At 39.7% G+C, this 27,842-nt stretch overlaps 1 protein-coding gene across 3 annotated transcripts in view, besides 1 other annotated feature; it reads left to right on the top strand.

Annotated features, from left to right (window-relative positions):
• Positions 1-27,842, top strand: part of PRAG1 (PEAK1 related, kinase-activating pseudokinase 1) — a 68,704-nt gene that overhangs the window by 25,451 nt on the left and 15,411 nt on the right. For 2 of the 3 annotated variants that reach the window (NM_001080826.3, NM_001369759.1), the window contains exon 4: positions 21,354-21,511. In NM_001080826.3, coding sequence (NP_001074295.2) covers positions 21,354-21,511 — 158 coding nt within the window. Of the gene's footprint in view, positions 1-3,159; positions 3,251-21,353; positions 21,512-27,842 lie in introns of all 3 variants that reach the window. The other variant, NR_163138.1, reaches the window with a different exon arrangement.
• Positions 8,494-8,623: an enhancer, noted in NCBI's record as "active region_26966". NCBI's record gives its function as "activates an Ori minimal core promoter by ATAC-STARR-seq in GM12878 lymphoblastoid cells {active_cell/tissue: GM12878}" and the evidence as "EXISTENCE:reporter gene assay evidence [ECO:0000049][PMID:35858748]".

Raw genomic sequence — 27,842 nt, 5'->3', positions numbered from 1 at the left:
AAAGAAATATGATCCACAGAGCCGCTATGGCAATTTGGGAATGTGAACATCCTCCAGGTCAAAATATTCTGGCAGCAGATTACAAATTCCCTGCTCAGGAACCGCAGTAGGATAAAAATAATGCCACCCACTGAGATAATATGAAAGATTTAAGGGAAATAATAATCAAGGGGATTCAGCAATCAGCACCCTGAACCCAAAATCTTTCCAAGGCATTTAACATACAACAAGAAAAGGATGAAGGACCTATGAGATTCTTGGACTAAGAGAACAGATGAGAAAATATGCAGATTTAGACCAAGAAAGCCCCCTTGGGCAAGGAATGTTAAAACTGCACTTTGTTACTAAGAGTTGGCCAGACATTGCTAAGAAGTTACAAAAATTAGAGAACTGGAAGAATAAGTCAATAGAGGAGTTGTTAGGAGAAGCTCAGAAGGTATATTTGAGGAGAGATGAGGAAAGACAAAGGCAGAAAGTGAAAATCTTTTGGCAGAATTCACCAGGACAGATGATGTAGGGGGCTAAGTCTAGACCCACACCTGTAGGATTTTCTAGAGGAGGCAAGAGGAGAAATTTTGGTAATTCAGGAATGCAGAGAGAATGAAGGCAAGGTCAGTATTTTAGAGGAGAAGGTAAAAGTAAGTGCCATAGGGGCTGTGGATATGAAAATAAAGAGAAGAAGAAAAGGGGCCCTGGGCTTGGAAGACAGGGAGGGCAAGACAGATGTTACAGATGTGGGAGGCCAGGTCATTTTAAGAACGAATGTCCTGAATTGGAAAAAGCAGAGGAAGCTCTCCCATTTGTGACTACTTCTGAAGAAGAATAGAGGGGTCAGGGGCTCTGTCTTTTCTATTTCGAGTCCCACCAAGAGCCCTTGATAAATTTAGAGGTGGGACCCAAACATGAATTAATCACCTTTTTGATTGACTCAGGAGCTGCTCACTCATCTGTTGGTTTTCCTCCAGCTGATTTAGCTCGTTCCTCAGAGGAATTGACAGTTTCCAGGGTCAAAGGAGAAGGATTTAAGGCAAAAATTTTAGAAAATATGGAAGTTAAATATCAAGATCAATCGACTTGTATACAATTTTTATTAATTCCTGAAGCAGGAACCAATTTGTTAGTAAGGGATTTAATGATAAATTAGGTATAGGTTTGCAAGTTGGTCCAAAAGGTTTTCTAACCTCTTTAAATTTGTTAACTGCGATAGATGAAAAATACATACATCCAGATGTCTGGTCAAGGAAACTGAGGAAAGCTACGAATTCCTCCAATACATATTTGGTTAAAAACTCCAGGGGAGGTAGTAAGGAGAAAGCAATACCGTATTCCTTTATAAGGAAGAATAGGGTTAAAGCCTGTAATTGAAGGACTTATTAAAGATGGGCTGCTCAAACCTTGTATGTCCTCATCCAATACTCCAATTTTACCAGTCAAGTAATCAGACGGGTCATACTGATTAGTGCAAGACCTTAGAGCTATCAATCAGATAGTCTAGACGACTCATCCTGTTGTACCTAATGCTATTTCTAATTGGCTAGAAGGATGGTCCGGTCAATAGAAAGAAACTGTAGCCTCAATTCTTACTTCTATAGCAACTGTAATAGGCATACTCCTTCTTCTTGGGTGTTGTATTATACCATGCATCTGGGAATTAGTAATAAGATTAACAAAAACAACTCTTACTAAAACCCATCTTAACTCTCCTCCACCTTATTCAGAAAAAATTCTCCTTTTAGAAATTCAATCAGAGCAATTAAGCCAAGAAATATTAAAACAGTTTGAAGAGGAAAAACTATAAAAAAATAAGAGGAGGGAATTGTGAAAAGTAAAAAGTTCCTCTTCAAGCTTACCTTTTTTATTAAGGAATAAATCATAAGTGTTAGAACTAATAGTTTATCTTAAAGACTAGCTTTTAACAATAACTCTTCATTAAACCTTACATAGTCATTAAGTGTAAAAGGATAAGCATTTTATATATACATATACTTTAACTACAATATGAGTTTTGGCTTGCTCAGGCATGTCCCAGGTCACAGCTTATATCCCTTCCTTATTTGGAAATGTTATTGCTTCTATAAGCCTTTATGTAAGCAACTTCCTCTTTTCCTTTGTTTAGCACTGTCTTTACCTATTTAGGAAAGTTTTAGATTGTTAGCCAATTGGGCTAAGCTTAGACTGTGAGGTCCAGCTCCAGCCAGTGGAGGTAGGACAAAGCAATAGGGACTTCACCCATAAGGGATAAATATTCCTGTGTCTCTTTGTTCAGTGTGCTCTCGTGGCAGGATTGCTGATGGGCAGCACCCTTTCTGCAGAAAGTAAAATTGTCTTGCTGAGAAAACTTTTTGTCTGAATGCTGATTCTTCTTTGTAGCACCAAGGAATAAGCATTCCTTTCCAACAGAAATGATGTGTCTTTTTGTATGCTTATGAATTGACTGAGGGCTGGCAGCCCCTTGGTCACTTCAGTAGGGGAGTTGGTCACCTGAAAAACCAAGACAAGATTAGAGGGTTGAGACTTTCAGTCCCACTCCAACCCACAGGGTTGGGGAGAGAGGCTGAAGGTTAAGTTGATCACTAATGGCTGATGCTTTAATTAATCATGACTATGTAATGAGGCCTCCATAAAAACCTAAGAGGACAGAGTTCAGAGAGTTTCTGAATAGCAGAACCTCTGGGGTTTCCTTGAGGGTGGTTTGTCAGAGAGGGCATGGAAGCATCATGCCCCTTCCCACACGCCTTGCCCATGCTTCTCTTCTTCTGTATCCTTTGTGATATACTTTATAATAAACTTGTAAGCATTTCCCTGAGTTCTATGTGCAGCTCTAACAAATTAATTGAACCCAAGGAGGAGATTATGGGAGCCCCAATTTATAATTGATTGATCAGAAGCACAGATAAAACAACCTGGGCTTTGGATTGGCATTGGAAGTAGGGGGAAGTCTTCTGAAACTGAACCCTCAACCTGTGGGATCTGACTCTACCTCTAGGTAGATAGTGTCAGAATTGAATTGAATTTGGTAGCAACCAGCTGGTGTTTGCTGCAGAATTGATTGCTTGCATGGTGTTGGGGTGGACAACTAACAAGATCTGAGGTCACAGAAGTATTTTGTATTGTGACAGTATAGGAGGAACTGAATTTGTTTTTCCCATACATTCACAGAACCATATTGTGTTTATTCATTCGTCTGTTAATGGATACTTAAGTTGCTTCTACATTTTGGCTACTGTGAATAATACTGCTATGAACACAGGTAAGCAAATATCTGTTAGAGACCCTGTTTTCAGTTCTTTGAAATATATACCACAAAGTGGAATTGTTGGCTCATTTGGTGATTCTATTTCTAATTTTTTGAGGAACTGCCTTACTGTTTTCCATAGCAGCTGCACCATTTTGTATTCCCACTGACAGTGCACAAGGGTTCCAATTTCTCCACATGTGTCTTCAAAACTTGTTTTGTTTTTGTTTTTTATAGTACCCATCCTAATGGGATGAGTTGTTGTCTCATTGTGCTTTTGATTTGTGTTTTCCAAATGATTAAAGATGTTGAGTATCTTTTTATGTGCTTACTGGCCCTTGTGGGTTTTTGTTTTGTTTTGTTTTTTGACAAATTTAAGTTCTTTGACCAGTTTTTAATTGGATTGTTTGGTTTCTTGTTGTTGAGTTTTAAGTGTTGTTTGTTTATTTTGGATATTAACCGCTTATCAGATGTAGGATTTGAAATATATTCTCCCAATCCATGTGTTGCCTTTTCACTCTATTGATTATGTCCTTTGATGCACAACATGTTTTTATTCCCATGTAGTCCAGTTTATCTATTTTTGCTTTTGTTGTCTTTGCTTTTGTTGTCATATCCAAGAAATCATTGCCAAATCCAATGTCATTAAGTTTTTTTCTTTTTGTTTTCCACGAGGAATTTTATAGTTTTAGGTCTTAAGTTTAGGTCTCTTACCCATTTTTAGATAATTTTTGTATACAATATTAGGCAAGGGTCCACTTTCATTTTTTTGCATGTGGATATTCACTTTTACCAGCACCATTCGTTGAAAAGACTGTCATTTCCACGTTGAATGGTCTTGGCACTCCTGTTGAAAATCATTTGACCGTATACATGAGGGTTTGTTTCTGGACGTTCTAGTCTATTACATTAGTCTATATGTCTATATGCTAGTACTCCACTTTTTAAATTACTGTAGTTTTGTATCAGTTTTGAAATCAGGAAGTGTGAGACCTCCAACTTTGTTCTTTTTCTAGATTGTTTTGGCTATTAGGATATGTTGAGGTTTTATATGAATTTTAGGATGTATCTTTTATTTCTGCAAAAAATGCCACTGAGAACCTCTAGGCCAGTCGTGGTGGTTCAAGCCTGAAATCCCAGCACTTTGGAAGGCTGAGATGGGCAAATTTATTGAACCCAGGAGTTCGAGCCCAGTCTGGGAAACATAATGAAACCTCATCTCTACAAAAAATACAAAAAAATTAGCTGGGCACAGTGGCACATGCCTGTAGTAACAGCTACTTGGGAGGCTGAGGCAGGAGGATCACTTGAACCCAAGAGGTCAAGGCTGTGGTGAGCCATGATTGCACCACTGCACTCCAGCCTAGGTGACAGAGTGAGACCCTGTCTCAAAACAAAACAAAAACCTCTATAGTTTTCATAATGATTTACATTTCCACCAAAAATGCACTAGTGTTCTCTTTTCTTCACACCCTCACCCACATTTGTTGTCTTTCATATTGATAACAGCCATCTTAATGAGTGCTAGGTGATATCTCACAGTGGTTTAAATTTGCATTTCCCTGATTAGTGATGTTGAACACCTTTTCATTTATCTGTTGGTGAGTTTTATGTCTTCAGATAAATGTCTGTTCAGATCCTTTGCCCATATTTTAGTATGGTTACTTATTGCTCTGCTATTGAGTTGTAAGAATTCTTCATAAGTTTTGGACATTAACGTCTTATCAGACACGTGGTTTGCAAACATTTTTTCCCAGTTCCTAAGTTGCCTTTTCATTTTGTTGATTGTTTCCTTTGCTGTGCAGAAGGTTTTCTGTTTGATGTAGTTCCATTTATTTATTTTTGCTTTTGTAGTCTGAGCTTTTGGTGCGATATCCAAAAAATCATTTCCAAGGCCAATATCAAATAGATTTTCCTATGTTCTTTTCTCATAGTTTTATGACTTCAGGTCCTACATTTAGGCCTTCTATCCATTTTGAGTTTATGTTTGTGTATGATATAAGATAAGGGTTCAGTTTCATTCTGTTTCATGTGGAGATACAGTTTTCCCAGCACCATTTATTAAAGAGACTATCTTTTCTATGGTGCCCTTTTGATGCTCTTGTCAAAAACTAGTTGACCATGTATGTCTGGATCAATTTCTGAGCTCTGTATTCTGTTTTATTGCTCTATGCTTCTGGTTTTATGCCACTACCATATTCTTTTCTGATTACTATAGCTTTGTAATATAATTTAAAATCGGGACGTATGAAGGCTCCAAATTCATCTTTCCTTTTTTCTTTCTCAATATTGCTTTGACTATTTGAAGGGTTTTTTTTGTCATTCCATATGAATTTTAGGATTGTTTTTTCTATTTCTGTGAACAATGCCTTTGGAATTTTGATAGAGATTGCATTAAATCTGTATATCACTTTTGGTGGTGTGGACATTTCAACAATATTAATTCTTCTGATCCATGAACATGGTATATATTTGCATTTAATTATGTCCTCTTCAATTTCTTGCATTTAATGTTTTATAGTTTTCAGTATACATATCTTTCACCTCATTGTTTAAATTTATTCCTAATTTTTTATGCCATTGTAAGTTGGATTGTTTTCTTGATTTTTGTTTTTTCACCTGGATTGTTTTTTTGTATGTGGAAATGCTACTGGTTTTTGTGTGTAGATCTTCTATCCTGCAACTTTACCGAATTCATTTTAGTTCTTTTTTTGGTGGAATTCTTGGGATTTTCCACATACAAGATTATGTCATCTGTAAATACGGATAATTTTACTTCTTCCTTTTTTTGTTTGGATGCCTTTTATTTCTTTTTCTTGTCTGATTGCCCTTGCTAGTACCTCCAGTACAATGATGAATATGAAGTGGCAGAAGTGGATTTATTTGCCTACTACTGGATCTTAATGGAAAAACATTTAGTTGTTCCCCATTGATTATGATATTAGCTGTGAGTTTTTCATAAATGGCCTTTATTATGTTGAGGAACTTTTCTTTTATACCCAAGCTGTTAAGAGTTTTTATCAAGAAAGGATGCTGTACCTTGTCAAATGCTTTTTCTATGTCAATTTAGATGTGGTTTCTATCTTTCATTCTGTTAATGTGACATATTACAATGATTTATTTGTATATGCCAAACCAGCCTTGCATGCCAAGGATAAATCCCACTGGTCACATTACGTAATCTTTTGAATGTATTGTTGAATTCAGTCTGCAATACTTTATTGAGAATTGAATTAATATTCATCAGCAATATTGGCCTGTACTTTTTCTTTTCTTGTGGTATCTTTGTCAAGCTTCAGTATCAAGGTGATGCTGGCCTCATAAAAAGTTTTTGGAAGTATTCCCTCTAGCTTTATTATTATTTTTTTTTTTTGGAAGAATTTAAGAAGTATTGGTAATAATTGTTCTTTGAATGTTTGGCAGAATTCAGCTGTGAAGCCATCTGGTCCTGGGGTTTTCTTCGTTGGAACGTTTTTAATTACTTCTTCAATCTCTTTATTTGTTACTGGTCTGTTCAAGCTTTTTATTTCTTCCTGATTCAATATTGAATCTAGGAATTTATCCATTTTCTCTCTGTCATCCAATTTGTTGGCATATAATTGTTCATAATAGTCCCTTATGATCATTTTTATTTCTGAGACATCTGTTACAATGTCCCCACTTTCATTTCTGATTTTATTTGAGTCTTCTTTCCTTATTTTCTTAGTCTATCTAGGGGTTTGTTGATTTTGCTTGTTTTTTTCAAAGAACCAATTCTCAGTTCTATTGACTTTTTTTTTCCTTATGTGGCTTTTCTGTTCTTTATTTTATTTATTTTTGTTCTAATCTTTATTATTTCCTCCCTTGTGCAATGGGTGGTCTTCCTCTTCCTCTTCTACTACTACCACTACTACTACTACTACTTCTTTATCTTCTTCTTCTTCTTTTTCTTCATCTTCTTCTCTTTTGAAACAGGGCCTCACTCTGTCACTCAGGCTAGAGTGCAGTGGATCAATCATAGCTTACCGCAGACTCAAACTCCTAGGCTCAAACAGTCTTTCAGCCTTGGCCTCCCAAAGTACTGGGATTATGGGCATAAGCGCCACACGTGGTTTTGTCCTTTTTCTACTTCTTTGAGGTATATAATGTTATACTATTTATTTGGGATCTTTCTTTTTTAATGAAGGCATTTATTGCTATAAAATTTCCTCTTAGAACTACTTTTTCTGCATCTTATACATTTTGATATATTGTATTTCTATTGTCATTTTTCTCAAGATAATTTTTTAATTTCTGTGATTTTTTTCTTTAACTACTGGTTGTTTTGGGAGCATGTTGTTTCATTATTACATATCTGTTAATTTTACAAAATTCCTCATATTATTGTGTTCTAATTTCACACTGTTGTGGTTGGAAACAATACTAGATATGATTTCAATTTTCCTGAATTTATAAGACTTGTTTTATGGCCCAACATGTGGTCTATCCTGGAAAAAGTTCCATGTGTGCTAGAGAAGAATGCTGCTGTTATATGGAAAGTTCTATATATGCTTTTTAGGTCCATTTGGTCTAAAGCTTAATTCCAGTTCAGTATTTATTAATTTTCTGTCTGGTTGATCTATCACATTGTTGAAAATGAGGTGTTGAAGTCTCCTACTATAATTATACTGCTATCTATTTCTTCTTTTATGTTCATTAATATTTGCTTTTTATATTTAGATACTTTAATGTTTGTACATATGTATTTACAATTGTTGTGTCCTCTTGATAAATCACCCCCTTTATTATTAAATGATCCCCTTCTTTGTCTCTTGTAACCATTTTTGACTTGGAGTCTATTTTATCTCATATAAGTATTGCCATCTCTGCTCTCTTTTGGTTATTATTTGCATGGAATATCTTCTTCCTTCCCTTCACCTTCAGCTTATGTATGCCCTTAAAGCTAAAATGGATTTTTTGTAAGCAAGTACAAAATCTTTATTCAAAGAAAAACTCAAGATATAAAACAAACATACAGGTATACCAAATATAGTGTGTATACCTAGAAGTGAGATATTGGGAAAGTGGCAAATTAGAGTAGAGGTAGAGATGAAGGGAAAAACTAAAATAATGCAGACCAATGTAAAAATGTGTCATTAATTAGGCATATGGTCATCTCACTTCTCTGCACTTAAGAACTAACAGGAAGAGAAACTGTGAGTCATGGAGAAATAGAGGACTTACTTGAGAGAGATGAGTATGGTGACTAAGAAGATGAATAAAAGTGATGAATGCTTGGAACAGCTGATTTGGGTCAAGTACAAGCATTACCAGGGAGCCCTGAGAGGTAGTATGAATTAACTGTGGCCCCAACCTGCATAGTTGTGGACTTTTTCCTGGAGAAGCACTGGGCTGCCTGGTACAGGAATGAGGATGGAAAATGCTTGGGGATATCCAGAATGGGGAGGTCAACTGAGTCTGAAGACAGAGAGCTGGACCTGTTGAGATGCAGATAAGAGAGTGAAGAATTGATCAGGGAGTGTGGAGAGAACCTGTGATGGTGTCTGCTCCTTATTGGGCAAAAGGCTGCCCCAGCGTGAAGAATGGGGAAGTAGCTCATCCTAAGAGCTTTGGTCCAAATAACCTCTCAAGCTAGAAGGGTAGAAATGAAGTCTAGTATAAAATACACTGAAGCTGGTTCAACAAAGTGAATTTGAAATATTCACCAAATCAAGAAAATTAGGGTCTGAGAATTCTGAAAGCAAGGTCACCAAAACCATTAGTCTAGAAACACAAAGATTCTGGTCAGGCACAGGTGATCTTGGTGGGATTTCAATAGGATTCGATCAAGCCCAGAACTGCAGTGACTCCCAAGTGGGTAACAACTCACTAGTGTTTTTGTTTAACCAAACACCAGAGGTAGATGTGTGCTGGGGGATGAGGAGATGGTGTGAAGGGAGAAAGGAAAGTTCTAGGAGGCTAAGGGTACTCATGGGAGATTCTTTTTTGCAAGGGGAAGGCAGGCTGATGTAATAAAATAGGTTGTTCTCTTTCTAGATCTTTATATACTGAAAGCGAAGTGATAGAGCTAAGCAACCTGATTAGCTGAGGAATATGTCACCTCCTGGATCTGGGGCTATACTATAAATTATCTAGTTCTTGAACACACAAATTCAAAATGAGGTCTGGTCAATGGACAAATCAACTCTTTCTCATGATTTTAGAATAATGCATGTCCTCAAAGCATCATTCTATTTATCTTTCCTTGCAGATCTTTTAAATGTTGTAGTAAGAGTAGAGACATCAAAGTAGGGTGAACCTCTAGACTATCTGAAGATTTCTGCTTCTGTCGATAGCAAAAAGAATTACTCAGTCATATGGTTTGGATCTGTGTCCCCACCTAAATCTCATGTTGAATTATAATCCCGAATATTGGAGATGGGGTCTGGTGGGAGGTGATTCGACCATGGGAGCGAATTTCCCCCTTTGGTGCTGTTCTCATGATAGGGTTCTCATGAGATATGGTTGTTCAAAAGAGTGTGTGGCACCTCCCTCACTCTCTTCCTCCTACTCTTGCCATGTGAAGTGCTGACTCCCCATTTGCCTTCTGCCATGTTTTTAAATTTCATGAGGCCTACCCAGAAGCCCACCATACGCCAACATCTTGCTTCCTGCACAGCCTGTGGAACCATGAGGCAATTAAACCTCTTTTCTTTATACATTACCCAGTCCCAGGTATTTCTTTATAGCAATAGAGAACTAACTAATACACTCAGTATACTGGAGACTGCAGAAGTCCTCTGTTTGCCTGTTTATCCATCCATTGATCTATTCATCCATCCATCCATGCACCCATCCATCCATCCATCCATCCATCCATCCATCCATCCATCCATCCATTTAACGAGCACTTTCTATGTACATGGTGCTGTTTTGAGCAGTTTATAAATAATAACTCATTGAATCTTTCTAATAACTGCATGAGGTATGTATTGTCATTATCCACATTTTATAGATGGGAAGCTGAAACAGAGAGAGATTAAGGGCCTTTTCCAAAACACACAGCCAGTAAGCATTGAGTCAGGACCCGAACCCAGGCCGTGAAGCACCAGTGTTCATGCTCTTAACCACCACATCATTGGCCATCCTTGGTGACTCTGAAATCCGTCTAGGAAGTTATTCAACTGCTAGCATCATTGTTCTTCCCAGTAGCTCCTGAGGGCCCTGGGATACTGTGCTTGCCTATAGGCAAGGCAGCTGGTAGGAGAGGCCCTTTTGTGGAATGCAGTTACTCTCTTGTTAGTTCCCACTTTTTCTCTTTTCATCTCCTTTTCTTCCCATCTGCTCCTCTTGTGTGAACAGATGTGAGTTTCCTCCTTGACTTTCCAGGCCATGAGTTGGAACACGTTGTTCTTAGGTGATCATTTTAGAGATGAAAGTGTAGTGTACAGGGGTGATGGAGCCAAGCTATGAGTTCTTCATCACTCTCTTACCTGCTCATCAGCAGCTCCATCTCCCTGTCTGCAGCCTCAGCTGAAACCTCCGCACCTGGATACCCCCAAACATCTGCCATCCTCACTCCTGCACCAGGCAGCCCAGCACTTCTTTGGAAAAGTCCACAACTGTGTAGGCTGGGGCCACAAATAAAAGACTTGCTTTTCTGAAATCTGAATTGTCATCTTTAAAAAAATGTTTCTATCTCTCATGCTAAAGTATATCTGTATATAATCAGGGTACACTTCCATCTGACCAATTTAAGAATTTTTATCCTTGACTGAAACCAACTAGTAACCGAAATGTGTGTGTGTGTGCATGTATGTGTGTTTGTGTGGTATGTGTGTGTGTGTGTGTGTGTGTGTGTGTGTATTTTCCTATCTTTTAATGTAACTATGAGTTTATCCTGTGTTAAATGGTTTCTACTGAATATGAAGTTAAAACAAAGGGCTTTTAAACTTGTAGAGCTCCAGAAGAGTCACTAGTGCATTAACTGAAAATGCAAATTAACAGGCCTGCACCATGGGGACCACAGAGGTCATCTGACCAAAGATGAAACTGATTTCCTATATTTATGCATCCTAATAAATCAGCGGGTGGAAAACATGCCCCCAGAGAAGATTGGCCCTATCAGTTTTTTCAGCTGGCATTTAGGCATTTGCAAAATAGCTCCCTTAGCATCTTCATCAAAAAGCTCCAACGATAAAAATAATAGAAACCGGCCGGGCGCGGTGGCTCAGGCCTGTAATCCCAGCACTTTGGGAGGCCGAGGCAGGTGGATCACGAGGTCAGGAGATCGAGACCATCCTGGCTAACACAGTGAAACCCCGTCTCTACTAAAAATATAAAAAAAATTAGCCTGGCGAGGTGGCGGGCGCCTGTAGTACCAGCTACTCAGGAGGCTGAGACAGGAGAATGGCGTGAACCCGGGAGGCAGATCTTGCAGTGAGGCGAGATGATGCCACTGCACTCCAGCCTGGGTGACAGAGCGAGACTCTGTCTCAAAAAATAAATAAATAAATAAATAAATAAATAGATAGATAGATAAATAATAGAAACCTCCCTAGCTTAGTTATCTGCCTTTCTCCTCCTATCTTCTGGATAAAAAAGCATTTAAAAACTACAAGATTTGTGAAAATTCAGAATATTTTAGAACAGGTGTATTTTGTACTAATGGCAAAAACCACAATTACTTTTGCACCAACCTAGTAGATATGAGAAAGTTTCAGCTATTGAATCTGGTATTCTTGATGGTTATCAGTTGCTCTGTGTTCCTGCCTTTTGCAAGTTTTGCTGGGCAAGTGTAATTCTTTCTTAAAGGAAACATTTATTCTCCCAGATGCCACTGTGGCCTCAAAACAGAGGCAGATAAACTTAATCAAGAACTGTTTAATAATGACTCTGTGTTCCAGCACGTCTCAACTGTGACACAGCTCCTCAAACCATTTATAATTTTGGAACGGTTACAAGCCTATTTCACATCAAACAATTAGAAAAATGTAACCAGGATTATAACCAAATTCTCAGTGATGTGATTCAGACTCAGTGCAGTGTCAGTTACAGAAGGATGAGAAGGGTCAGAGAAGACTGAAATAGTTTGGGAGGAATTTGTAGGTAAGTGAAACTGATGCTGGGTTTTGAGGATGGAGATGGTTTGAAAGGGAGAGAGGAGCATTTCCTCTGAGCCACAGTTAGGAGAAGAGAAGGAGCACTTTGGTGCTTTGGAGACAATCAGAGGACAAAGACGAGCCTGCTTGGAACAGAGGATTTAGGAGGGGAAATAGCAGTATGTTAACCAAAATGATGATACTTTGTTTTCTAAACCAGAAGCCTAGGAATGTGTTGGAATGTGTACAATGGAATGAATAGACTATGGGGAATATTTGAAATTGAGATTGTCAAAGAAAATTTGAGATGTGTGTTTCTGTCACTACAGAGGACCTGAGTCAATCCAACATGGTGGCTAAGCTAGAGAGAATCCTTATGGGAGTGCCAGGTAGGGCTCTTTCAGGATCGTCCATTTTACAAAGATTTTGAGTCAGGGTGCTTTTACCAAGGTTGCAAATATTCTCTGAAGATGTGAATTGCTGGGTGTGGTGGCTCATGCCTATAATCCCAGCACTTTGAAAGGCCAAGGCAGGTGGATTACTTCAGCTCAGGAGTTCGGGACCAGCCTAGCCAACATGGAGAAACCCTGTGTCTCTTAAAAATACAAAACTTAACCGGGTGTGGTGGCATGCACCTGTAGTCCCAGTCACATGGGAGGCTGAAGCATGAGAATCTCTTGAACCGGGGAGGCAGAGGTTGTAGTGAGCCAAGATCACGCCACTGCACTCCAGCCTGGGTGACAGAGGTTGTAGTGAGCTGAGATCATGCCGCTGCACTCCAGCCTGGGTGACAGAGGTTGTAGTGAGCTGAGATCATGCCGCTGCACTCCAGCCTGGGTGACAGAGTGAGACTTTGCCTCAAAAAATAAAAAAAAAAGATGTGAATTGATCTCTCACTAGAGGAGCTTGATAAATATTTCTCTCCTAGGTCTGCAGGTTTGTTCAAGCACAGGGATCTTGTCAGCTCTGTTAACCATTGTATCCCCAACACCTAACAGCGCTTGGCACAGAGTCGGCTTAATGCTGAAAAGCCTGGGAAAGGTATTCAGGATAGACAAGGAGGAAGATCCACTGCAGGTAACACAGGCATATGATAAGTTAAAAACAGAGTGTTCTTATCCACCAAGAAAACTCGAATTGCTTAATGATTTTGACTTTAGTAAGTGGCTAAATAGTAGAGAATAAATGAAGAGAAACTTAGTGTATTTTAGAGCATATTTGAATTGCTTTGAATCATGGAGCCAAATAAGACAATTGGAGATTGAAAGCTGCAGGTCAGAGAGGCAGAGCCGTCTCTGTTTTCCTGTGCTTTTGCAGGAAGTGCATTTTATAGAAAAGTCAGAGAGGAACTGAGGGGAAACAGAGAGCTCTGAGCTGGTGAATTCACAGCAGCCTGGAGAAGCATTCCGGCTGCCTCTGAAGCTGGCTCTTCACACCCAAGGGCTGCCCCTTGGGAACCTGAAGTCACTGTCCCAGCTAGTCACAAGGCCGGGGAGGCCTCACTGATGAGGACAGCACTACGGGCCTGAGTCTAGAATGGTAAGAGGTTCTCAGTCTTTGAGACAATTATTGGTTGTTTGAGTTTAAAACCAGTCTTTTCCTTTCTTCTTTGTAATTGAAAAAACATGTATAGACTGTTTAAAAACTTGTTCTTGCTTTCAGAACATTTATTTGATGCTCTAAAACTTTCCTTTAGATCTTCTCCAGATCATTACTAAACTTACTAGTGTATTTGACCAATCCCAAGAGCCAGCAGTGTGAATGCCTGCTGGGATTTAGAGAGCCAGTCTGAAACTGCATGCTGGCATATGTGGGTTTTCAAAGATTCCGCTCCAGTGGCAGAAAGCTCTCGGCCAAATGTATGTGAACCAAACAAAAGTCAGGGGCAGTGAGAATGAAAATCGGCCTCAATCACACTTTGAATATTGCTGTCATATGAGGATTTTAACAGCCATGGAAAGTGTGAGATTCACTCTCTGCTGCACACTGGGGCCCCGCATCCGTTAAGGATTGTGGGCATTCTGAAAGCTCTCATTCTGAAAGCTTCGGGGGTATTTTTAGATGAGGCTTGTTCCTACGAATGAGGAAGTCTAGCAGATGGCTCTTCCGGCTGGAGTCTTTTTTTCCAGCTTTCCACCAACATAGTATGGAGACCACTCTGGCAAGACCTCTCTCTAAGGACAATGGAGGGAAAAGCTATTCTCAAAACACTGGGCAGCAGCTGCAGGGCTGGGGCTCTGAGGACACCGTGCCACTGGCCTGTACCTTTCACCCTGCCTGCCTGGACTGTATGTAATCAACAGTGGGAGGCCGAAAGGAAGTTTGAGGTTAAGCACAAGATGTCTTTTATCACACTACGTGAGTGAAGACATCTGTGGAGACTGTACTCTCACTGTAGATGATAAGAATGTTATTCACCAAACAGACAGAAAAGACTGGAGTATGAGGTTTTTGTCCATGGAAGTATTTTGCAGATGGTTTGCACCAGTTTTGTGAAAGACAGATCAAATTATTATTAATGAAGGAAAAGTGCCTTTAAAAAAGGCTAAGTAGTCTTGTTATACCGCATTGAGTACACTCATTGTCTTTTGGCCTCACATCTGATAGAACAATCCTTTAGGGCTCAGAAAAGTCATCATTGCAATAGTAAGCCTTTTCCAGGGATTCTTAAGAAGTCTATTTTACACACAGTGTAAAGACCCAAACAACTTGATTGTAAGTCTGTGCTTTGATGGCAAGCTTCCTGTTCATTTTTTAATTTGATGTGGTTTTGCTCATGCCCTAATTAAAGTGGCAATTCTCAAAAAGTACAGATTGCACAGGTTTCCAGGGCGGATGCTTTTTAATGCAGTTCATAAGAAAGAGTCATCAGTCCTAAGGTTTTATTTTATTTTATTTTTGAGACAGAGTCTCGCTCTGTCACCCAGGCTGGAGTGCAGTGGTGCCATCTCAGCTCACTGCAACCTCCGCCTCCCGGGTTTGAGCGATTCTCCTGCCTTAGTCTCCTGAGTAGCTGGGACTACAGGCATACACCACCGTGCTTGGCTAATTTTTTGGTTTGTTTTTAGTGGAGGTGGGGTTTCACCATGTTGGCCAGGGTGGTCTCGAACTCCTGGCCTCAAGTGATCCACCCGCCTCTGCCTCCCAAAGTGCTGGGATTACAAGTGTGAGCCACTGTGCCCAGCCTTAAGATTTTGCTATTAAGCAAAAGGGTCACCTACGTGTGTTTTGGAAGACCTGTTATATCCCCATTTACAACTGAGCATTCCAAATGCCTACTGATTTCTGATTTTCTTTTTCTTTCTTTCTTTCTTTTTTTTTTTTTTTGTAGAGACAGGGTCTCACTATGTTGCTTAGGCTGGTATCAAACTTCCAGGCTCAAGTGATCCTCCCACCTCGGCCTCCTAAAGTGCTGGGATTACAGGCTTGGGCCACGATGCCTGGTCACCTGTTGGGTTTTAGCGACCTGGCAGGAAGCTGGATTTCTCAAGCTTTTCCAATAAAGAAGAAGCAGTTAGATCCCAAAAGCCATGAAAATTCCACTTGTGGCTTAGAAACTAAGATTTACCAAAGTCCACTTTGGGAGGCTCCCTTCCTCCCTAACACACACACACACACACACACACACACACACACACACACACACACCCTGCGGATAATTTATCCTGTAATCACAGGGATAGACTAATTTTGTCTGCATTCACTTGATGAGAGTTTTGACAACAGTGACTTCTGCTATAGTAACTATAGACAGAAGAATTAACTCCCAAGTCTTAAAAGAGTAGTTAGGTCTATGATGCAACTGTTTCCAGCCACAGGGGTGCTCTGTGGTGGAACCAACCCTCGTTGAGACTGCCTGTTCCCACTGAGGGGTCTGATGGAAATCCCACTGTGTTATTTTGTGTGTTGTTTGCCTTCCAGAGGCGCAACAACAGATCAACAGGAGCAGCCACCCCCTGCCTCATTCAGGCCCTGTGATTTGCTTTCTCACTAGAAATTTTCATTTTTAGTGTATCAAATATTCCAAGCATGCAGTGAAGTTCAGATAATAATTTAACTGACCTGCAGGTGTTCCCTAAGATTTTTCAAATATTAACATTTTGCCATTTGCTTTAGATTTTTTAAAAATAAAATGTTACTGCTACTGTGGAAGATCCCTCCCTATCCAATTCCCATTTCAACCTCCCATTGCTACCCAGAGCAATCACTGTCTTGAAGTTGATGAGTATCATTTACATTTTATTATGTGCTCCGTAAAACATGTATATATCCTTATATGTTTTTAATCTCTATACAAATGGCATCACATTTTACTTGAGCCTTTTGTAAATTACTTTTAATACTCAGCATTTTAAAATATTTCTTCATATTGCTACCCTAAAATCCAGTTCATTTTTTTCTACTGCTATAAAGTATCCCACCAAAAGACTATACCACAATGTTTTCATTCCTTTGTGGAAGCACCGTTCAACAGTTTAGAAGGTTATTTGCTATTTGTAACGTTGTGAACACCTTTCTCCACTTATAAGAGTTTCTCCAGCTCTGTACTGCACAGTATGGTAGCCACTAGCTTAAAATGTGGTTAGTCAGAATTGCAATGTGAGTAAATATAAAATGCATGCCACATTTTAAGGACTTAGGATGAAAAAAACATATGGAATATATCATTAATAATTGATATAGGTTATACTGATTACTGCTTAAAGTGACAATATTTTGAATACATTATGTTAAATAAAATGTATTACTATAATTATTTTTTCCCATTTATTTTACATTTTTTAAATGTGGTTACCAGAAAACTTAAAATTACATATATGGCTTGCATTATAATTCTATTGGACAAGGCTGGTCAAGACCAGCCAGTAACTGATTGCCCACATGCAAGACATCTGTTTTTGTAAATAAAGCTTTATTAGAAAACATGCCACTAATTTCTATGGTGGCTTTCCAGCTACAACAGCAGAGTTCTGTAGTTGCAACAGAACCCTTATGGTCCACGAGCCTAAAATATTTACCATCTGGCCCTTTAAGGAAAAGTTTGTTGACTCATATTCTAGAGCAGTAATTTTTAACCTTTTTTAAAAACCATGACCCACAATAAGAAACATTAATATCATGACCCAACAAACACACATCTGAAACAAAAGTTTTACAAAACAAAGTTTCACAAATCCTTTCTATGTATTTTCATATTTTCTGTTCTGTTCTGTTTTGTTAAAATAAACTGCTGGTCAGTAAACTGCTAGTGACCCACTCAAGTGACTTAGCCATTCATTCATTACTAGTTATTTAAGTAACATTGCTCAAGGACATATACCCAAAAATGGAGTGACTGGATTATAGGAATGTGTGTATTTAACTTTACAAGATTCATCACATTGTTGTCCTGTGTGTGAGTTTACCAATCTACAGTCTCACAAACAGTGTGAGAGAGTTCCTATTTCCCTATATCTTTAACAAAATCTGACGTTGTCAGTCTGATCTGATGGGTATGAAATGAAATCTTGTTTTATTTACAATCTGATCATTCATAATTTTAATAATCTTTTCATGTGTTGAGTGGCCTTTCTTGTTTCATTTGTGAGTTGCCTGTTCATTTCCATTTTAAAAATGGGGTCATTTGTCTGTTTCTTAGATTTATAGGCACTCTTTTTTATTCTGCCTACCAGTACTTTATTAGTAATGCGGGTTGCAAAGATGTGAGTTGGCCACTCCAAGGTTTGTTTTTTTTCACTTTTTAATGGTGACTTTTATGTTATGAGGCAGAAGTTTTAAATTTTAAAGTAGTCAGATTTATCTTTTTCTTTATATTGCTATTTTTTAGCCCTTATTTTAAAAATTATTTCCTACCCCAAGTTCATAAAGTTTTCTCGTTATTTTTTCTGATGAATTTAAAATTTAATGGGTGTTTCTTTTCTGTTGAAAATTCGTGTTTCTACACGGTATGAGATATGGCTCTACTTTCTTTTTTTCTTCACATCATAAATAGCTGGTGTAAGTACCATGAATTGACTTGTTAATCCTCCAGTCTGTTTCTTGGGTCTGTGTCCTGGAAATGTTGGTCCTAGATTTATCAGAACCAGATCTTTACTGATCTCATTTATACAGCAACTGGTCCTTGATGGTTTTACAGGGTAGTTTTCGCAATCTTTCAGAGAACACATAATGTTTCTCTTATAAAAATTACCTGAGATAAGGCCGGGCGCGGTGGCTCACTCCTGTAATCCCAGTACTTTGGGAGGCCGAGGCGGGCAGATCACGAGGTCAGGGGGTCGAGACCATCCTGGCTAACACGGTGAAACCCCGTCTCTACTAAAAATACAAAAAAATTAGCGGGGCGTGGTGGTGGGCGCCTCCTGTAGTCCCAGCTACTCGGGAGGCTGAGGCAGGAGAATGGCGTGAACCCGGGAGGCGTAGCTTGCATGAGCCAAGATGGTGCCACTGCACTCCAGCCTGGGCAACAGAGCAAGACTCCATCTCAAAAAAAAAAAAAAAATTACATGAGATAATTGAAAAAGTGAAAGTTACTCAATTCATTTTATAATTCCTTTTCTTTTTTTTGAGACACAGTTTCACTCTGTCACCCAGGCTGGAGTGCAATGGCACCATCTCGGCTCACTGCAACCTCCGCCTCCTTGGTTCAAGCGATTCTACTGCCTCAGTCTCCCAAGTAGCTGGGATTACAGGCGCAGGCCACTATGCCTGGCTAATTTTTGTATGATTAGTAGAGATGGGGTTGGCCTGTTGGCCAGGCCGGTCTCGAACTCCCTACCTCAAGTGATCTGCCCGCCTTGACCTCCCAAAGTGCTGGGATTACAGGAGGGAGCCACCGTATCCGGCCGTCATTTTATAATTCTATTTTAACCTTTATATCCAAATTGGACAAGGACAGGACAAGAAAGAAAAATTATGGGCTAGCCTCTATTTGAATGTAAATGTAAAAATCTTAAACTAAATATGAGTAAAACTGAATCCAGCAATGTGTAGTAAAATAAGTTCATACAACATGTGCAAGGATGGCTTAATTAAGAAAAGCTATTAACATAACTCATCACATTCACAGAGTAAAGGAGAAACATGATATGATTTTTTTCCCATAGATGTAGAAAAGGCATTTAATAAACCCTAATAGCCAAAAATGATTTTGAAATACAAAACCTTAGAAAACTTGAAATAGAAATAAACATCCTTAGCCTGATAAAGTGCGTCTACTGAAATCTGTAGTAAATATACGCTTAGTATTGAAGGATCCCTTGTACTGCCTGTGTGTGGAGTTCCCTCTTTGTATCTGGCACCTGAGAATTGTTCTTTCTTTTAATCTTGGCTGTTACTTTAAGTAAGTATGTGTGTGTGTGTGCATATGTATATGAATATATATATATGCTCATACATACACATGTTTATGTATTTTTTGGTTTTGTCTATTTACATACATTTCATGAAGTTTGTGGAGTGGGAAGCTGTGCCAGCTCTGTAGCCATGGTGCTGTAGTTTCTCCCTTAGTGATTTTCTGGGCCTGAAGACCAAGAAACTCTAGAAACCACTTTGGAAGGGGCAAAGTAGGGGATAGCCACAGAGCTGGCTCTGGCTTCTCTCCTAGACTGAGGAGTTGTTATGCATGACTTCATATCCTGGCTTCCCTTGGAGAAAACTATTAGTGATAGATCTGATGTGGATATAAGAATATTGTATGAAACTGTCTGATTTTATTTTGCCAGGAGATTAGGCAAGGATCAGCTACTGCCATAGCATTTCCTAAGGAATTGATATTTCCAAGGTTCCCACAGCGATACTGAGATACAAAGATGAAGATTAGTCATAATGTTGCCTTCACTGTCACATTTTTTTTTTTGACAGATTTAACACAGTTTAAAAGTACGATTCTAAGGGTTGGGAGTGGGGAGAGGGACGTGTTTTCAAGGAGCACTTTTTGTGGTAGCGAACAAACTTTAAACCCTCCTGTTGATACACAGGGGATTCCCGTGACTATGAAAATTAAAACAGGGCCTGGCAATGTTGAACACAAAGAACAGCCAATAAATTCTTGACCGTAAGGTCATGCGCATTAAATAAGGCAGTTCTGATGCCAAATCAGTACTGTACTGTATATTTCCCATAGCAGATATTGAGATATGGATCTGCCGTAGAAGGAACAGGAATGTCATCAGGAAATATCAGTTCAGACAAATGTGGGTTTCCACCAGCAGGGGAAGAGCTGGACCTGGTGTGGATCTGTCTCCCTTCATGGTGAGAATGTCAGATCAGAAATGAATATTCATGTGGCCCTTGGAAAGTGGGAAGGAGAAATCAATAAGCTAAACACCCAACCTAATAATAGAACTGTTTTCTCCAATGTGAGTGTTTTTCTCTTGAAGTTGGTATTTCTGTCCTTGATCTGTTGGTGATGCTATTTAGAGATGCAACAAAAGATTTCACAGAAAAGCAAAAGGTTGGTTCCATTGTTCTGGAATAAGGGTTATGTCAATTTGTTTCTATCTAAGCATGTCACTGGAAGTCTGGTTCACATTTAAAGTTTTCCTTAATTCCAAGAAACAATCTAGACCCTTTGAAGCTTTGGCAAAAGAGTACCAGGTAAAAAAAGAAATCCCACTTGTAAAGGCCTAGTTTGCAATTCATTTGTCCTGGGATCTTGCAAAAACAACCCAATATCTGTATGTCTCTATACATTGGTGTGTATGATAATATCTTTATTTTTCTTTGTAGAGATTTTACACAGGATATAATAAGTGACACAACTGTTTTGGCAGATGGGGTCAGAATATGAAGGCAATTCCTTCCATGTAAGAATTTTGGTGCTTGTTTAAATTTAATAGACTCGCTTCTCCTAACCACACTCTGGAAGTCTCCTGTCATTCATGCACATAAGAACTCAGAAGAGAACCTCTACTGTCTCCCCAAAATCTTTTTTTTTTCTTTTAATAAACTTGCTGACATTGGCCAGGTTTCAAGAGCATGGTAAGTTCATGATCCATCAGCCTGGTTTCTGAATGGAAATCCAATGAGTTATTTGTATTGTTTGTTCCTACCTTTTCCAGGCACCTTCTAAAAATGAACAAGAGCAGCTCTGATTTGGAAAAAGTGAGCCAGGGCTCTGCAGAAAGCCTCAGCCCATCCTTCAGGGGTGTCCACGTCAGCTTCACCACCGGCTCCACGGACAGCCTGGCCTCAGACTCTAGGACCTGCAGCGATGGAGGTAACAAACTTGACATTGACGGAGAGGCTTAGATTCTCCTGGACCTTCAAGACCAGTCCTGCGTTGCTTGCGGGATTGGAAGGGCTGAGCAAGGACTACTGTCTTGGTCCTGCTTTCTCAATGAAGTAGACTCTTCCAGGGAGCTGTTGAAGTCAATTATCTACTGAATATATGGCAAGCCAGCCCATCCATATTGCCCTCTCCAAATTATAAGAGTGTGGACGTGGCAACATGGTGGGAGGAAGATGAGGTTGAAAGGCTCCTATTTCCTTGGGTAATGAGCCATCTGTGTACAGGCCTGCTTTTTACTTCTGTCCTCAGGATGGGTCCTAAACCACACATTCTCACTATCTCTTTCTCTCTCTCTCTCTCTCTCTCTTTTGCATCTACATGTGCATGTACCCACATGTACACACTTACTGGACACAGCAGATGTTTACATAATGTTTGCTGAATTAAGCATGAAGACTACATTAGGCCACCATCTAGCCTGCTTTTTGGATTAAGCTCTAAGGCCTATGGGTGGGTCTGTCCTCCACTGGGCATGTCCCTAAAAAGGAACTCTTGTTTTTCCATAGTTGTGGCCTGGATGGGTCATATTTAAAACCTCTCACCCTTTCAGCATTCTTTGTGTATGTGTCCTCTCCTGCGTTTCTCTTAGACTTGCGTTAGCATGTTGGATTTAGACTTGTACTCACATGACTTCCTTTTTCAGTCCTATGGAAATATTTCTTCTCAATAGGCAATGACACAGTAGAGGGTTCCATTGCAAATTTACTGTCAGCAACATTATTCTACCTAAACAATAGGTACTGGCTGAGACAAAAGAGTGTGTTATAAGTCAGTCTGTGGTGTGTTCTGATGAGAAACCTCTGACAGTTCTTACTTAAAAACAGGAAATATCTTAGTCTTGATTTGGGAGGAATGTAGCAACAACAGATTTTCTTTTTCTGTAGATTTTTCTAGGCTCTTATCTTCTTCCTTTTCCCAGCCCATTGTATAACAAATTCAACAAGGCAGATTATTCCATAGAGGGCAGTGCATCTCGACCACGAGCCCCTGTGCTGGTTAGCTCTGATCCACTCTCTTGGAGATTGTAACCAGTTCTGGGGAGTGATCTACAATGAACCATCAGTCACCAACCAGCGGGTGTCAGGCGAACTGGACTTCATGGCTTCACCACTTTGTTTCCCAGAACCAGTAAACCATGACGTCCACTCGCAGGGTTCCTAAGAACTGACTAGGAAAGATAAGGTTAAAACACATGGTACATGGGTGGATGGGATATGGTAGGATATTGGGCAGCCCAGAACATGAGTGCTTCTTATAAAGGCTTCCAGAAGAGACAGAAATCAATGAAGGCTGGTGGAGGGTTTAGGGAAGACTTTATGAGAACATGGGACTTAGAGATCAGATCTGAAATGTGGCCAGAACTGGGGAGGTAGGGGGTGAGGAGGAGAGGGCTTTCCAGGTTTAGAGAACAATAAAAGAGAAACAAAGCCACAGGGATGGCAGTGCATGTGGGAGAAGGATGAGACCAGTCTGACATGCTTCAATAGACACCGGCAAGGGGAAATGGGACATGAGCTTGGTGGGAAGCAGGGGCTGAATTGTACACGGCTCTCACAGCAATCTGTGCAGGTGGGAGACAGAGAGCTGCCGGAGGTTTGTGAGTTCAATGCTGGAGGTTTGCGAGTTCAACGGGGAAACCTATTCAGACGTTTTCTCATGTTCGTTTCTGAATAACATGAATTAAAATGAATATATTGTCGTGGTATTCCTTTATCACAAGCTAGTTGTTCAGTAGAAATGCATTTCAAAACTTAGACTCCCAGACCAACAAGAAGATATGTACCTTGTCCCTGGACTCTAGCCCCTGAGAGCCAACCATTCTATCTGCTGCCCCTGGACATGGCTCTCTGTACCCGGAACCATGTTTTGAAACTGGCAAGAGACCAAAGGCATGACATTCTTTCTCTCTCTCTCTCTTTCTCTCTCTCTCTCTCTTCTTTTTGACATCTTTTAAACATTAATCATTAATCTGGAGAATATACAGAACTACTGGTCATGTAATATGAGAAATCCTTCATTCACTTCTCACCGCTTACCAAGGCAGCTTAGATTTGTTATTGCACAATTATCTTCCAGTCCCATGGGTCCTTAACTCACTTTTATCTTGTAACTGAAATATTTATCCATTGCAACTTTAGTTACTGTTTGGCATGCAGTACCAAAGCTGAGAGATTAGATCCAAATAGAAAAAGAACTAGTTCACGCTGAAGTTCTTTGAAACTTGAATGTAGTGTCTGCCTTTCTAATATTATACATTAAGCCAAAAGATACCATTAGACTCTTCTACATTTATTTTGTCAGTAAGAATCTGCTAGTGAAAACTATGCGTTTCATTGACTTTTTCCATCCACAGTATAGGCTGGCCTGAATGAATGGAGGAAAAAGTCATTCCAGGGCATATCATGATAGTAGTTTGTGTAAACTTCTTGGAAATGTATCAGCGTTAATGGCTAAAGTTAGTGATTCATGCTTTATGTCGGAGGTGGGGGGAGGGGGGAAAGGGGTGTGGGGAGGGGAGTGGGGGGAAGGTTTTAGTTGTATAAGGAAAACCCTAATAGAAATCTCTAACTTTGTTACATTTTTAAAACAGGTGTTTATTCTAAATGTTTCAGTGGCAAAATGCCACTTTTGTGTCAATGTTAATTTCACCTTTTTATACTTTTATCAGAGTCAATGGCTGAAGTTAATGATTTGCGTTTTATGGGTGGGGGGAGGTTTTAGTTGTATAAGGAAAACCTAATCGAAATCTCTTACTTTGTTACATTTTTAAAACAGGTGCTTATTCTAAATGTTACAGTGGCAAAATGCCACTTTTGTATCAATGTTAATTTCACCTCTTTATACTTGTATCAGATTACATATTCCTCCAGTGCATCTGTTATCCCATTTGTCCAATTCAATTGAACAGCCAGTCAACTCAGTGCAAGGAAAATTTGTCGAAGCAGTTGTTTGGTTTATGCTTGGTTTAGGAGGTACAGACTGCATGTGTCAGGACAGATCCATGAAGGCTGCCAAGGGGAAGGTTTTTGCAGGGAATGGATGGTTGGACGTGTGAGGGAAATGATGATCAGAAATGGTCATCAAGAGACCTTTTTGCTTTAAGTGGTTACTTGTAAATTTGCAAACCTAATGTCTCATTGAGATCATTTCCCTCTTTGATGTAGGATACCATTAAAATTCAGTTCAGCAGTTCGGCAAACATTTCTGAATGCCTGGAGATTAGAGAAGATTAGAGAGTTCTCTGTTGAACTGAAACCATTGGCACCAGCAATAGATAAGAAGTCTGAAAATACAGTTCATATAGATATTCTCACTTGCATGAATACATGTACCAGGGCAGTGATACCATTCTTATTTTTATAGCTGGCAAACCAGAGATACAGAACACTAATTAAATATATTGACAGTAGTCAGTCAGCTTGTTTTTCTCAACAAGCTGACTACTACTGGCAAATTTTTAAGAAATGCATATTAATGCAGTCATTCATTTGATAGATATTGTTGATTGCAAACTCTGTGCTGGGTACAATTCTAGATGCTGAAGTTTCAGCAATGGAAATAATTCCCAGTCCCTTCAAGGGGCTTACATTCTGGTAGGAGAGATAGACAATAAGAAAGATAAGATGTAAAGTAGCTACTGGTCAGAAGGCAGCGAGTGCCAGGAGAAAAATCAAGCCAGGAACAGGGTGGGGAGGGGTGGAAGTGCTCCAAAGGAAAAAAACATTTATTTTTAAAAATTTTCTGTGGCCTGAGCTATAATATCACTGAAGTGAAGCTTCAACTTCATTTAAACCTTCCCCGTTAAACTGAATTTTAAATAATATATTATTGTTCCAATAAAGTCAATACTTTTTTTTTATAAAAATTCAAACAACAGAGAAAGGAATAAAATGAAAAGTCAGTTTTCTGACACCCCATCCCAGCTCCTACCATCACTTTTAAGATTTTTTTCTGTATCATCCCAAAAATGTGTATCCATATGTGAAATATAAAATTCAGTTCTACAGATTTTTGCACTTTATCTTGGGGCCTTTCAAATGAGAACCCCTAGGACTGCCTCATTTTTTGAAATTGCTGCTTATTTTTCATTATATTATTTGGTTATAAATCCCTCTCTTGCTGATGCATGTCTAGGTTGATTTCATTGCAAGACTTACAGTAAGACTCTGTGCCATACATTGGCATGATTTGGTGAGCAAATCTGTAAGATAAATCCTTAGAAGAAGTGGAACTGACATATCAAACTGTATGTGTATTTTAAATAAATATTACCAAAGTATCCTCTAAAAATGTCTATTTACTTTTCCATCACAGCATCTGAAAAGTGCCTTTTTTTTTTCGAGACAGAGTCTTGCTCTGTTGCCCAGGCTGGAGTGGCACAATCTCTGCTCACTGCAAGCCCCACCTCCAGGGTTCAAACAATTCTCCTGCCTCAGCAGCTAGGACTGCATGCGCGCCACCACGCCTGGCTAATTTTTCTATTTTTAGTAGAGACGAGTTTCGCCATGTTGGCCAGGCTGGTCTCAAACTCCTGACCTCAAGTGATCCGCTCACCTCAGCCTCCCAAAGTGCTAGAATTACAGGCATGAGCGACTGTGCCCGGCATGGAAAGTGCTTTGAATTAACTTTTAATTTTACTAACTCGGAAGAAAACCATTAATGATTATGTTATAACAGGAGATTGAAAGATCATAATTCCAGGACCACATGTGAGCTGTAGGCAGGGCATTCGAGATACTTAGAGCCTGTTTTCCAAAGTGAGACAGAGCTTTCTCTTCTTTCGCATGTAAATCACATTCACATCTTGATTATTGTTTCCTGGGATGATTAAGTGGTCTGGAGAGACTCCTCACAAATGCCACATTTTCCATCCAGTTGTAAAATGCTAATAACCTGCTTCCAGTTTCAGAACACGTTTATCTTCTTGAAAAAAGCAAAGGTTTCTTTTAAAGAAATGCTTTTTTTTTTTTGAGATGGAGTCTCACTCGGTCACCAAGGCTGGAGTGCAGTGGTGCAGTCTCAGCTCATTGCAACCTCCACTTCCAGGCTCAAGTGGTTATTGTGCCTCAGCCTTCTGAGTAGCTGGGATTACAGGCACACACCACTATGCCCAGCTAATTTTTGTATTTTTAGTAGAGACAGGGTTTCACCATGTTGGCCCCTCAAACTCCAGACCTCAGGTGATCCGCCTGCCTCAGCTCACCAAAGTACTGGGATTGCAGGCATGAGTCACTGAGCCCGGCCTGCTTTGCTTTTTGTTTTTGTTTTTTCTTCTACATTTCATGTTGAACCTGCTCTGACTGTGGAACCAAACAAGAGATTGCAAAACTTGCCTTCAGAGGAACAAGTCCGTGTGAAGCCAAAGCATCCCTCTGCCCCACCCTTCATCCTCTCTGATGCAGGAATAGTTAATGGGGGTTGGCAGAAACCTGCATGACAGCCACTTCCTGGGTGATATTGGCAAGGTGCCCGTGCAGATGGCTTTAGTTTTCTCACCTCTCACATGAGAGAATTGCACTAGGGCCCCAGGGCACAGGGTATGGGTGAGGTTTTCTCCATCCATATTCCACTTGCTTTACCTTACTCAAAGTTGGAGAATGGTCAAACACAAAAGCTAAACGTTTGGGGAGACTTAGTTGGGACGCTGCCCTTTGCTTCTGCATTTGTTCTGACCCAGCTGCTATCACACAGCAGAGCTGTGCAAAGAAAGAGCCAAAACAGGACTGACCACTTCCTCTGTCAGCTCAGCTCTCATTTTGGCTGCAGAGAACAATGAAAGTGCCTATTAAAACCCAGCAAGAAGAGAGGACTCTATAATAAGGAAAACCTCAGAGTACCATGTTTGAACTTATGGCCTGCATTTCTGCAGAGAGGTTAAGCTGTTCTTCCCAACCACTGAAATCCTGATTTCTCATCTCTGCTTTCTAAATATAATGACACCAAACTAGTGCACCTTCCCTTGGTCTTTTTAAGATCCCATCCAGTGCAGCATACGTGATATGTAGCTTCTCACTAGAAATGCTTTCTCTTCCCTGAAGCACGTTCGCTAAAGGCATGGAGCGTGTTGTACTCTATAGCCAGGAACTTCCTTTATATGCAGAATTGGAAATTCGAAGGAAAACTTAGGACCTGAGGTTTGGAGCCCTCTGGCCCAATTAGCATGCAAAATTATTAAAAACCAACAAATGAGGCAACTGAGACATAGGCCAAGGTCCCAGAAAAATGTTCTCCCCTCTCACCCCTTTTGCACCCTTAATTG

This window comes from Homo sapiens, chromosome 8 (assembly GCF_000001405.40).
Source record: "Homo sapiens chromosome 8, GRCh38.p14 Primary Assembly".
NCBI classification, from domain to species: domain Eukaryota; kingdom Metazoa; phylum Chordata; class Mammalia; order Primates; family Hominidae; genus Homo; species Homo sapiens.
The sequence above is the reverse complement of the archived record's forward strand: the minus strand, read 5'-3'. Positions and strand labels throughout refer to the sequence as shown.